The sequence below is a fragment of the Homo sapiens genome, chromosome 5 (assembly GCF_000001405.40).
Source record: "Homo sapiens chromosome 5, GRCh38.p14 Primary Assembly".
Classification (NCBI taxonomy): domain Eukaryota; kingdom Metazoa; phylum Chordata; class Mammalia; order Primates; family Hominidae; genus Homo; species Homo sapiens.
In genome coordinates, this window is record NC_000005.10 from 127,330,389 (window position 1) to 127,343,023 (window position 12,635).

The 12,635-nt window shown below is 37.5% G+C and overlaps 1 protein-coding gene across 6 annotated transcripts in view; it reads left to right on the top strand.

Moving 5' to 3' along the window:
- Nucleotides 1–12,635, top strand: part of MEGF10 (multiple EGF like domains 10) — a 231,923-nt gene that overhangs the window by 101,089 nt on the left and 118,199 nt on the right. For all 6 annotated transcript variants that reach the window (XM_017009987.2, XM_011543694.1, NM_032446.3 and 3 more), the window contains 3 exons: nt 903–1,036; nt 8,732–8,833; nt 10,142–10,242. In XM_017009987.2, coding sequence (XP_016865476.1) covers nt 903–1,036; nt 8,732–8,833; nt 10,142–10,242 — 337 coding nt within the window. The remainder of the gene's footprint in view (nt 1–902; nt 1,037–8,731; nt 8,834–10,141; nt 10,243–12,635) is intronic.

Genomic DNA, 12,635 nt, shown 5'->3' on the forward strand with positions numbered 1-12,635 from the left:
TTTCTCCAGCTGTCCCCTTTTTCTTGCCATGAATTAACTTGAACTCCCTAAATGCACCTGGCCCTCCCTTACATGTGGATCCCTCTGCCTGGAACATTCACCCTCTTCAATCTCCTTTGCCAGCCTATCTATTTTCCAAGCTTTTAAATGTTACTTTACAGTCTTTAGGTTCATTTTCTCTAACATCGACCTGCAAACAGCTTTACATTTTTTTCTATGTATAATCTAGTTTTTAGAAACCCCTGTGAGATGTTTGGTTTCATTTCTGTTCAGCAGATGGAGAAATTGAAGCACTATGTTTAAGAAACTTATGTCATGATTACTAAGTTATAAGTATCTTAACAGGCAGAGATAGGGACTGGTTCTGTGTTTTATATCCAGTCTTTGAATGATGACTAGGATGGAGCAGGCATTCAGTGCATTGAGTGACTTATCAAATGAATCTCAGATTGAGCCTGAGGTACCTCTCTCTTGATTCGATGGAGCTTCTGTTTCATCATTTATTTTCTAGAACAAATGAGGCCAGCTACCTCTGTGTGCCCTCCTCTTCTAGAAGGGAAATATGCCAGGTGAGAGAATGTGGAGGCTTGTGTTGCTCTGAATTGTTCTGGTAGATTTCTTTAATATTGGCTGGCATAAATGAGAAGGGCTTTTGTTCTTGTGGCAATTGATGATGATTTGCATATTTTAGTAATTTACAAAATAGTAGCCACCTTGCACAACATAAGAAACACCCCTCTCTCCTGGACCATGGAATTTGGTGACCTGGCTATTGAAATACATGGCTTGTTATGCACATTTCAGCCCCACTGACAACTGGTACCTGGTGGTTGCTGTACTGAAAAGAATTCTGTGTGAGTCATTTCAATGCATTTCTAATTGGGATTTTTTCTTTCTTGTAGGTTGTTCTTCAGAAAAAAATGGTTATTTCTTTGAACTCATGCCTGAGCTTTATTTGTTTATTGTTATGCCACTGGATTGGGACAGCATCACCTCTGAATCTTGAAGACCCTAATGTGTGTAGCCACTGGGAAAGGTAATGGTTTTGAAAGGAGCCTGACAAAGAATTGCTGAGAAGTTCCCTTATATACTGTAATTATCAGTCAGATGTATAAAATTAGAATTTGTGAAGAGATTGTGAAATTACTTTTATGTAAAAATCATTAGTCATAGCTAGCAAATTAGGTGGTGTTAGTCACCTTGGTCTTATAGCATATATATTATGTGAAAAAAGTCTTGATATATCTAATTCTAATGCAGGTGCAATTGTAAGATTCAGGGAAGACATTAATAGCACAATTAAAAGATCTTCCTAATGTCTTGTCTCTGATTTGAATTTGCATTAATTTTGGGGAGCTGGACTTATGCATGGGAACCCATGAGTGAGAAGTGGAAAGCAGCATGAGATAATATACTAAAGTATTGAAATATATGGGATTTAAAAGAATTTTGCTGTAGATGGCTTGAAAACGGAGACCTAAATTTGGTGTAAACTGGCAAGGCTGCATAGAGGTAGTGTCCCCTGAGATGCTCTTGAAGAACTGAATAAGATGAGTGGGTTGCAATGATTGGAAGGGGATCTTGGAAGGGGAGTCAGTTTGGCAGTTTGAAATCAGTGCCATGTGGACCACCGAGAACTGTGCACAACCAGAGCAGAGTTAGTACCGTATTGGAGGAGGGTGTGGTTATGTGAAGGCAGATGATGTAATGTCTAGATATGAGCAATTTGCAGTAGAAAGTACAAAACAGTAGATCATCCTCTGGGACTTTATAGTCCCTTTTGGAACACAAAAATAGTGCAAACCCATCCAGCGATATTGCAGTACAATCAAGTCCAGTTGGCTCTGCTCTAATGTGCTACTTGAATTTCCCAGAAATTATCTTATCCAAAAACTGTAAATGCAAGTGTTTTAAACAAAGAGAAGATGTTAAGTACTGGAGGGTAATATGTATTTTTAATAGCTGTAAGTACAATTATATCAAACTCTTGATCTTCAGCACCATGATTAGCAAACCACAGAGCACACATTCTAATCACCTTTGTTCCCCACTGTTAGGATGCATAAAGCCCAGAGCCTCTCAAGCACAGCAGTGGTATTATTCTGGGGACATGCTGGTTTCTCACTCAGTATTATTTTTGGTAAGGGCTTATCCCTACCTCCATTGGTAGTGTTACAAGCAGGGTAATTAAAACATAATTACCTGATTAGTCAATGGAGTTATATATTATTATGAAACTTTAAGCTGCAGAGAGAATATATGTATATAATAAAGTTCTATATATTTGTGGTATTAACTACATTATACAGAATTTAAGCAGAAGGACTTCCTATTAGTGCTCTTTATAATATTTACAGCACCTCCCATAAGGCATTTCATCAATAAAATATATAATAAATACTTATTAAAGTCATGAATCATTGGCTACATCAATGGGTACAGGTCAAATTTAGTAAAGGAAGAGACCATTGGTAGTTGAACTTCTTGGAGGGATGATAGATTTGGGATGGGAGGAAAAGTCAAGTTTGTGAGATGTTGTGAAATAAGAATCAACAGATCTTGATAATACATTGACTGAGGAAGTGAAGGAGGCAGAGAAGACGAGGATTTAGAACTTGCTGTGTGAAGTAATCCAGATGACATTGCGCATATGGAAAAATAAAAGAAAGAGATTTGATTTGAAAGGGAAGGGGTTAGTGTGGGTTTGCCATGTTGTGTTTATAAAATCAGTTTAAAATATGGGCCTGGAAGTATTTGGGAATATAGATTTGGGAATATCCAGCATGATGAGATGTGAGATGTGAACAGAGGAACTCTCTGAGGGAAAGACTATAAGAGAAAAAAAGGTTGGGTGCGGTGGCTCAAGCCTGTAATCCCAGCACATTGGGAGGCCAAGGCAGATAGATCACTTGAGGCCAGGATTTTGAGACCAGCCTGGCCAACATGGCAAAGCCCCATCTTTACTAAAAATACAAAAAGCCAAGTGTGGTGGTGCATGCCTGTAATCCAGCTACTTGGGGGGCTGAGGCACAAGAATCACTTGAACTCAGGAGGTGGAGGCTGTAGTGAGCTGAGATCATGCCACTGCACTCCAGCCTGGGTGACAGAGCGGACCCTGCCTCAAAAAAAATAAAAATAAAAATAAAAAAAGAGAGAGAGAGAAAACCATTTCAAGGCTTCAAATAATCCGGCACCCACTTATAAATACACATTTTGTCCTGCTTCCCTGGTCAGCAGTTGACCAGAGCTGCCAATGCATAAGTGCATTGTCTGGCTCACCACTGATAATTCCCACTGTCTAAAACACTGCCTTGCATGTGGCATGTGTTTAATAAATTGTTGAATGAGTGAGTTCATCTTCTGATAGGAAACGAAATGACTAAATATGTACATCAATGTGGGAGGGGCATGGAGAGTGAGAAAGACAGATAGACAAGGGGCACATTAATCTCTAAACCTAATAGAACCCAACAACTGTGCAAGTGATTAGTGCAAACTCTAAAATGCTCATGAAGGGGGAGGGAAATTGAATGTGAACAAATAGGAAAATGATGAAAAAAACTTCCAGTTTTTTTAAATGTACTGCCAGGAAGAAGAGTTGACAGCTATAATCTTCTTACTGATAAATTTTCTGTTGTAAGGCTAGATAATGATTTCTAGAAGAAAGGTAAAAGAAAGTAGAATTGTTTTGATAAGAATGGGGACCAGTATAGAAGATAAATTAAAATGATCAAATAAAGGCACAGGTGACAGGTTCGTCTAGTATTTTCAAAAATGTAAATGGGCTTGAACTGAAATGGGGAGAGGAAGATGAGCTCCAAGGGCATAATTCTGGTAGTAGGGCTCATTTTAAGCTCTTCTTATGCTCAAAACCACCTGTACCCAATGGCTCAGAACCATGCAATCACCTGGAGGTTACTTCTCAGACTGTGGTTTGCAGAGCTGAGGCATGAACTTGTTAGAAATACAGACTCTCAGGTCCCACCCCAGACCTACTAAATCAAAATCTGCATTTTAACAAGATCCCAGGGAGGTTTGTCTGCATATTCAAGTTTGAGAAGCACTAAACAAAAATACTTCCATCAATGGCTTCTAGCTGCATCCCAATTGATATCTGAATATTTATTTTGAAATAGAGATGTGCCTTGTTTTAATGCAGCGATTGTGATTCTAAGAAATTGTACATAAAATGAAATTAAAGAAAATGAAATCATTTAAAATACTCAAGGGGTGTTTATGATTAAAGGAACTCTGTACAGTGTCTTTTTGGAAAATGAATAACTCTAGAAATTATCTATTCCTTCTCCTAACCTTCTTTCTGTATTCTATGAATTTGAGCTTTTCCATTCAGTGGGGTTTCTTCTAAAGAAGGCACAAGTGAAGAGAAACCACACTTTGACCAAACCTTCAATTACTAACACAGAAGGGAGAGTAATTGAATCAGCAGTCCTGAAGCAAGCAGAGATAAGAAATGAAGATTATTACCATATCTGATTAAAGTAACAAGATAATTTAGGCAGGTAAAATGTAATTAACCACTTTGGAACGTGCCCAAGTGATAATGTCTTCCTCCCCTTATTCTCCATCTCCTCCCCCACTCCCTGGTTCTTTGACCTTAAATTAAATCTTGCTGGGGTTTCTCCCCAGATAATACTTAATAGATTAAAATCACGGCAATGATATATTTTCAGTATGTTTGAGAAGATTAAACAAACAAACAGGAAATAAAGAGTTTTGCCTCTGAATGCTGAAAGTTGTGCAGAATTGGGATCAGTTTTTTAAAATTCCAGTTTCCCACTCCTTGTCTGTTTTAGAAGCTTTAAATGTTCTATAGTGATGTTTGAGAGAGGATGGGGCAGGACAGTGTCTGAGGGTCTTGGTGTTACTGCTGACGCTATATGGAAGCTCAGTGTTGCTCATTGTCAATGAAAGTAGGATTGGACCAGATAATAGAAGTGGTGCCCTCACACTCTGTGACTTCAGGAGCAGCTGCTGGTGAATGTGGAGGTATGGAGTGTTAGCAGAGGAACTAATTAAGTTCCATCAGCAGCCTAAGCACTGGCCATAGTGGCCGTGATAAAGACCAGAGGAGGCAGGCCCATTCTTGAAGACACTTTTCTTCATGATTCAAACACATCGCTTCCAGAAAATGGACCCCTTGAAGAATGACAACTTAATTGCCTAATGATTGGTGGGTATTGAGCAAAATAGGTGTAGTCACTTACAAAGTATTTGGCAGTCATAATTTGAAGACTATGTACTAACATGGGAAAATGCTTATGATATACTCAAGTTAAAAAAGAATGTTTTAGAAATATGTGCATGGCATGATTATTATAACCTAAGAATTTAGAAATACCCTCAACCAAAAACTAAAACCTCCTGGAAACTGTAAAGAAGCACAACAACATGCTGTTGGTGGTTATGTGAGAGCTATGGAGTTCTGTCTCTTGCTCTGTTTTTTAAAAATGTGTTTTCCAAATTCCATAGTGTGATTATAATACCTTTACAAATGAAAAAAAGGAAAAACTGTATAGAAAGAAAAATAATGTGTAAGAAACAACAGAAAAGAAATTCATGTTGAAAAGGCTTAGTACCTTTCTCCTATAAGCTTAAGTGGACGCTTCAGTTTCTGACCGATGATAATTAGGCAGGTAATTATCATTGGTCAGAAACTGAAGCGTCCACTTAAGTTTATACAGTAATTTAACTATAGTTAAATTAGTTGAACTGTAGTTTAACATAGTTAAATTAGTTGTACTATAGTTTAATATAGTTCAAAATAATTTATATGCAGTCAGTTCTGTACTGGGTTTGAGTGTCAAAATAATTTTAATGAGTAAAGCCAAGATTGAGGAGAAATACTCAAAACATAATGAATTTTATACTCCTATTTCCCCCAAGCTATATATATTTCTCCATGGAAAGCTATATTGTATTACTTTCAGCATTTAAATATTGGTCTCTCATTAGGTTGAGAGCTCCTTGAGGGCAGGAATTGCATAGAAGTTGCTCAATAAATGTTTGTTGAATTGAAATCCTAAATACTTTGATTGTCCTTTTAATAAAAGAGCTATTGGTGAGCAGCAAGTGACAAGAAGAGGAAATTTATGTACTCCAACATTCCCTCTCATTTAAAAACTCTTTTTGGTTCCTAGAAACCAGTGAAAACATTTTACTTGTTTGCTTATGGAATTGGTTCTTCCATCCACATCAAATAGAACTGGCCAGGATGCATTTACTGATGATAACATTTTGCACTCCAAGGCACACGGACTTGAATATCATAACATGGCCTTTGAAATTTTCTGGAAACTCTGTATCAGGTCTAGTTCCAACAAATGAATTTAGTTCAGCTAAATTAGTACTGTAGAGACTGGTTGAATAAGTTTTTTCTCCCAACTGGCATTAATTTAGAGTGGCTTCTTTTTTGTTCTTATAGCATATGTGGTAAGTTGCTCTATTTTGCTCATAGGTGATGTAGGACTGTACCTGTACACCAGTTGTATACACAGAGGACGTTCATTCACTTTGTTCTCCACTAGAAATGGAACAGAGATATAATGCTGTAGGCCTTAAGATTCAGCTATTTACAAGCAGCTGGATAGAAAGTGTCAACTTTAAACAATGAGAGTCAGAAAATATGATTAAGTATTGAGTTTATTCGGGCGCAAAATTTGAGGACGGCCATACAGAAAACAGACTTCAAAGGAATGGGCTCAGTGTTCCCAAGTGGGGAAGTTAAAGTTTCACCTATATAGGCAGAAACAGAGAAGTTTAGTAAGGTTCGACATTTTCCATAGAAAGCCAGTACATATGTTACAGTGATTTGATTGATTACAGTTTGCTACATTTCAAGGAAGATTGCTTCAACATTTCATGAGGAAGGGTAATGATCTGAGGGGGTCTTATCTCTGATGCCATTTGGTTATTTCTAATCATTTATAGGAAAAAGAAGTTGCAGCTGCCTGCTGCATGACTCAGGCCACATAGTTATATTCCTCTCAAGGCTCAAAATAATTTAAAGTTCCAATAGCTTTAAATTTGAATTATTTAATTTCACAGGATGAAAAAATATTGGTAAGGAAGTCTTAGAACCTCAGGACACCGCTAGGGTTCTGAAGAAAATACAGATAGCTTAATGTGATATGTCATTCCAAGAATATTAATATTTTAGCAGGGGCCTCTTGCTTTACCCAAAAGGGTTATATCATAGCATGCAGGCATTTGCACACTGTATCCTCATCTGAACTTATTTTTGCAGGTAGCAATGGGTAACATTTGTTGGAGGTAGAAAGAAACAGTCATCTAAAGTATATGTTAGAGATTCAGGATGCTAAATAAGAGGGGATCTTCAACACCATCTCTGACTCCTTTTATTTTAAAACGTGATCATGAGGACCCAGGGAAGTGAGGTTATCTGCTGAACATCTCCCAGTTTCTCAGTGTCAGTACAGAATTATAACCTTCTAATCCAGTGCTCTTTTCAACAGAGCCTGTTTCATTGCCCAACATTTATGAAGGGTCCCTAAATTTACCTAGAAATAAATTGCAATATTCCAAAGAATGAAATACACAAAACTATGAATAGTACGATTACTTCATGGCTGTCCTATTGAAGCCTGATACATAATGACTACCAGAGACCAGCTGCAGAAAGAAAACCCATTGTTTGTGAGGCTAGCACCACATAGCTTTTCAAATGAGAAGGTTCTGTCTAACCTGAATTCTTCATGCTGGCATTTTAACTTCCTTCCTTCCTATTAGTGAACTTGGGCTATTGATTTGCAGCAAATGAGTCTGTGATTATGGCCCATTTTTTTGTTTGTGTGAATTAAAGATTTTACTGAAAATCTTTAAGAGAATTAAAGCAAATAGAATAAATTGTTTGGAGAAGATTATCCACGTTTTCTTATAGGCAGACACTAAGCTCTTTAGCATGTAATAGACTGTTTAAAATGAAGAAGTCTGGAATTCAACAGTGAGTATTCTTCATATTTCATGGATGTTTTCCACCCATGTTCTTAGGCCCATAGGCTTGTATGTTTTCACTCTAAGAAGAACCTGTTAGTGAAAATGTATTGGAAAACAGACTATTTAAGTAGTAGCAAGCTGTTGGTATGATTATTTTAGGCTAATTGTCTCAGCCATATGTTTAGAACCAGGTTTAAAGACTACTTTATAGTATTTATTTAGTTGTTGTATACTGTATAGTCTTCCATTGCCTGAAATCAAATTATTCCAAGTTCCAACTAGAGAAAAATATGTTCTTTCTGATATTTTAAGAATCAGTAGCAAAATGCACTCTATTACTTTACTTGAATTGTTTCTTTGCTGAGTAACATTATTTGCATGCAGACTTAGAATGAAAACCTTCTGTGAATGATCTTTGTTATGCTTTGAGCCCTGGGGTAAGAGGAGGGAATTAAATGCAGAAAAATACGGAGTGGTATTTTTAAATTTGGGAATATTAGGGTTTATAGTGAGGAGTAAAAGAGAATTTTCTTTAAAATTTACAGCACAAATCGTTGTATTTTAAATGTATTGTTAAAATTGATCCTTTTGGGGTTCTAGTTTAAATAAAAACCCATAAAAACATGGAAATTGTCTGTTAAAAGTCACTATGGAGTTGCAAATGGAGATAATTTAGCTTACAAACTTTTAAATACATAGTATATTATTAATTTAAAAAAGAGAAATACTGATTTCTTATTTTTCCATTTCTTTTCAGCTACTCAGTGACTGTGCAAGAGTCATACCCACATCCCTTTGATCAAATTTACTACACGAGCTGCACTGACATTCTAAACTGGTTTAAATGCACGCGGCACAGGTAATAGAAGCTCAGGCATGTTTGTGAGTTTGGCTAACTGGGAATAGATTCTAATACAGAGATATTAATGACAGCAGAAAGTGCATCCATTCATTCAGTGAATAGGTATTGAGGGCTTGCTCCTGTCTTATTTTTGTGCCAAATCACAGGGGATGTAGAAAAGCAGAAAGGTAGCCCATGCCCTAAAGGAGCTTACAGCCTAACTGCAGAGAAAGTGTCTGCTGTTTACCATCATTTGTTAACAAGAATTCATCTAGCCTCTGTGTTGCGCATAACTGGGGGAGACACTGTTACCTATGGACAGCAGCAGATGTCAAGCAATTCATATCTTCGCATATGTTTCCAGTTGAACATCTGACTCAATTTAGGCTAACTTAAATTTGACCCTTAAGTAAAACAAGATGTATTTTTTTTCTATAAATGTGAACACAGAAACAAAACTAAAATATAATTAAATATTAATGTTAATATAGAAGGGAACTCTGATGCCCTAATTTTATTGGTAGTATACTAACATTTATAGTGTATGAGTTATGCCTTGAGTGCAGCATCTGCTGATTGTACTGCACTAAATGATGTTATGCTCAATGTCATTTCTTCACACAAGCTGGCCTTGGCCACTCTGTGTAAATTAGCATTTCCCGCCTGTCACATTCTATTCCCTGACTCAGGCTTTATTTTTCTTCACAGCATGTAATCATTACCTGCCATTATATGATCTAATCATTTGTTTAATGCATGTCCTTACTTTAACAAATTCAGCCAGATCTGTCTTCCCAAGTAAAATGTAAGTTCCTTGAGAGCAAGGGATTTGTATTGTTTTGCTTACTGCTCTTTCCCCAGTGTCTAGAACAGTGCCCAGGATATAGTAAGTGCTCAATAAACACATGCTATGTAAGTGAATCAGTGAATAAATGGCACTTTAGTTCAATGGAGAGGTCTTTTGTCTGTTAGTCTTCTATATTATAATGGGATGAGACTGCCCTAAGGTTTTTAAGGGAATTCTCTGAATTCTTCCTTTAAAACATACGTAAGTGAATGATGCTTTGATGGGTATCATATATGAATTAATCAATACTTTTCAACATATCTTAAGATAAGTGAAAGAGGGAAATCATGAAACTACTGACCCCTTAAAATAAAGCATAGATTGGCTTCAATAGGGAATCTTAATATCTTCTTAGCAAATTGATGAGTTAGTATTATATTGGTCTAGACATGTATTCCATATTTCTTCATAACTAGTTTGAAATACTTTGCTTTTCAGACTTTTATTATGTTTAATAGCTAATTTTTCCTTCTCTATAGAGTCAGCTATCGGACAGCCTATCGACATGGGGAGAAGACTATGTATAGGCGCAAGTCTCAGTGTTGTCCTGGATTTTATGAAAGCGGGGAAATGTGTGTCCGTAAGTAAGACTGTCACCCCTTTGAGATTCGCTAGTTTTTCCCAGTGCTGGTTTGCTTCCATTAATAGCAGCTGAGACAGAGGTCTGGGGAGATGGGTGTCTTGGAACATTCCTTTTCCCTCTGGTTGCTACTTTTCCTTGGCTTGTGTAATGAAGGAAACATTAACTCTGTCCTCCTGTCTTATCCAAAGTCTCCAAATGAATGTTGCTTAAGGTGAAAACAGCTGTTACAGAAAGATGATTCAAGGCCGGATGTGGTGATGTAAATTATAATTCTTCAATAAATGTCTCATTGGAAATTGGTCAGGACTCATTGGACCTGGGTCCCAGAAGAGAACAGAGACCTAACTTTCCTGCAGCTGACCTGAGTCAACTTCCGAGAGGCCAGCATATTCTTTTCTGGTGCACAGAATGATGAGGCTTATTAAATGTAGAGGAGTTTTCACATTAAAAAATGACAATAAGTCTGCATCACAAAATAGAACTTCTTTTCATTGTCATTTTCCCTCTTCTCTACCCTCCCCACTTCACCAGTTCATTCTGAGATGTCTTGAGAGAAGTTTCGTATCTTATGACACACTTCAGAGAATCCTAGAATATGAGATGCATGTGAGATGCAGTTTGCAATTGAGATTTCTTTCTTTGTGTATAGGTCACTTAGAAGAGAGATCATTAAAGACTATTTTATTTGAGTATTATGGCTCAACACACAGGTAGAGGGACAGCTCTGCTTTCTGAGTTGAGATGCTGATGTTGAGTAGCACAGAGAGAAGGTTCTGCTGTAATTTGGAGGCACCAGGAATGACTGGATAGATCTCAGCTTAAGAATCTGGAAAGCCCAGTGATATCACTGGTTCTACCATCACTTGGCTGGGTGGCCTCAGATAAACCATTTATACGTCTTGGAGGTTCCTTTGCTGTCTCAGAGATAGGGCTTGGAATAGTACATATCTCGTCTTTCTTCCAACCCCTGGATTCTATTCTGTATGCAGACAGGGGCAGCTCCTTAGCTTGGATTCAGAATCAGGGCTATATTTAATAATACATGTTCATAGAAAGAAAAATTAGAATATGTAACTAAGCAAAAAGAAGAAAATAAAAATACGTTGTGAATATTTTTCCTGGTCAGTAATTATACTTCTGTAACATATTGCAAATGTCAGTATATTGTTGCATTATAAATATTTGTTTAATCAATCTCAGCTGTTGAATGGTCACACAATTTCCAAATTTTACCTATCGTAAACTACTCTAAAGGACATCATTGTGGTTAAATAATTGTTCATATCCTTCATTAAGTAAAGATAAATTCCTAGCAGTAGAATTGCTGGATTAGAAGTGTACATATTTTAAGACTTTCGATGTATTTCTAATTTAAATACCCACCAGCAGTAAATGAGAATGGCTTTTTGCTTATACCCTGAGCCAATCTTCCTTTCACTAATTTTTTCTTAATTTGCATTTCTTTGATTAATAATGATGCTGAATAAGAAAAATTACATGTTTATAATCAAACATCTTAGAGAATAATCATGAGCAGATCTCAGTGGCCCAGGCTGATGGGAAATTTTCAAAAGAAAGCAGTGTGGAGTACACACAGGGGTGGGGATTGGGGAGGCCTGGCCACTCAGGCTGGCCATTTCCCAGAGGCCTTCAGTGACATTATCTTGATGCCTTTACCTGGGTTCAACCTTACAAGCACAACCATCAACATACCAAGAGAGTACTTCTGTCTCCCAGCACACATTTCTATTAACCCAGGGGTCATAGAATTTGTATATGAAGCCAGGATGCTATTTTCCTAACTCATACAAAACTTGGAAAGGTGCTTGTGCCTGTCTTCTGGCCATACCTTCTCTCCCTGAAGGCCTGGCATGTGGGATGCTAGATTTCACTGGCAAGCTGGTGGGGGGGTGTAGATCCAAGCAAGCTCAGTTAGAGAGACAGCTTCAATGTTTCCTGGCATCAGCCGCATAATTCAACACCTCCGTTTTTTAACTCAGTAGTGCAGCCCTTCTTAGAAAGTTAGGCAATTCCACTGGCACTATCACGCCTGAAATTACATGGGTAAAAATACATTTTCTCTCCTGCTAGACAGCTTGCAAAGCATCCCCCAAACTGCTTGAATGGACACCTCTAGCATTTGCCTCAAAAATTCTCCTTTTTTCTAGGCCTCTTGCTGACCAACTGCCCCTGAGACTGCAATATTTTTTCCTTTAGATATGCTAATATATTTAATCAGCTTACTCTCTAGTCTCACTGGCCTGGAAGCTGTTGGTCTCTGGTCTCTAAAATATTTTGTGTCTCTCCACTCTGATGTCTTGATTTCATTGCTTCCCCACACCCCCACCCCGCCCAACAATTGTTACGCTTCTTTGTTCTTGGAGGTGACT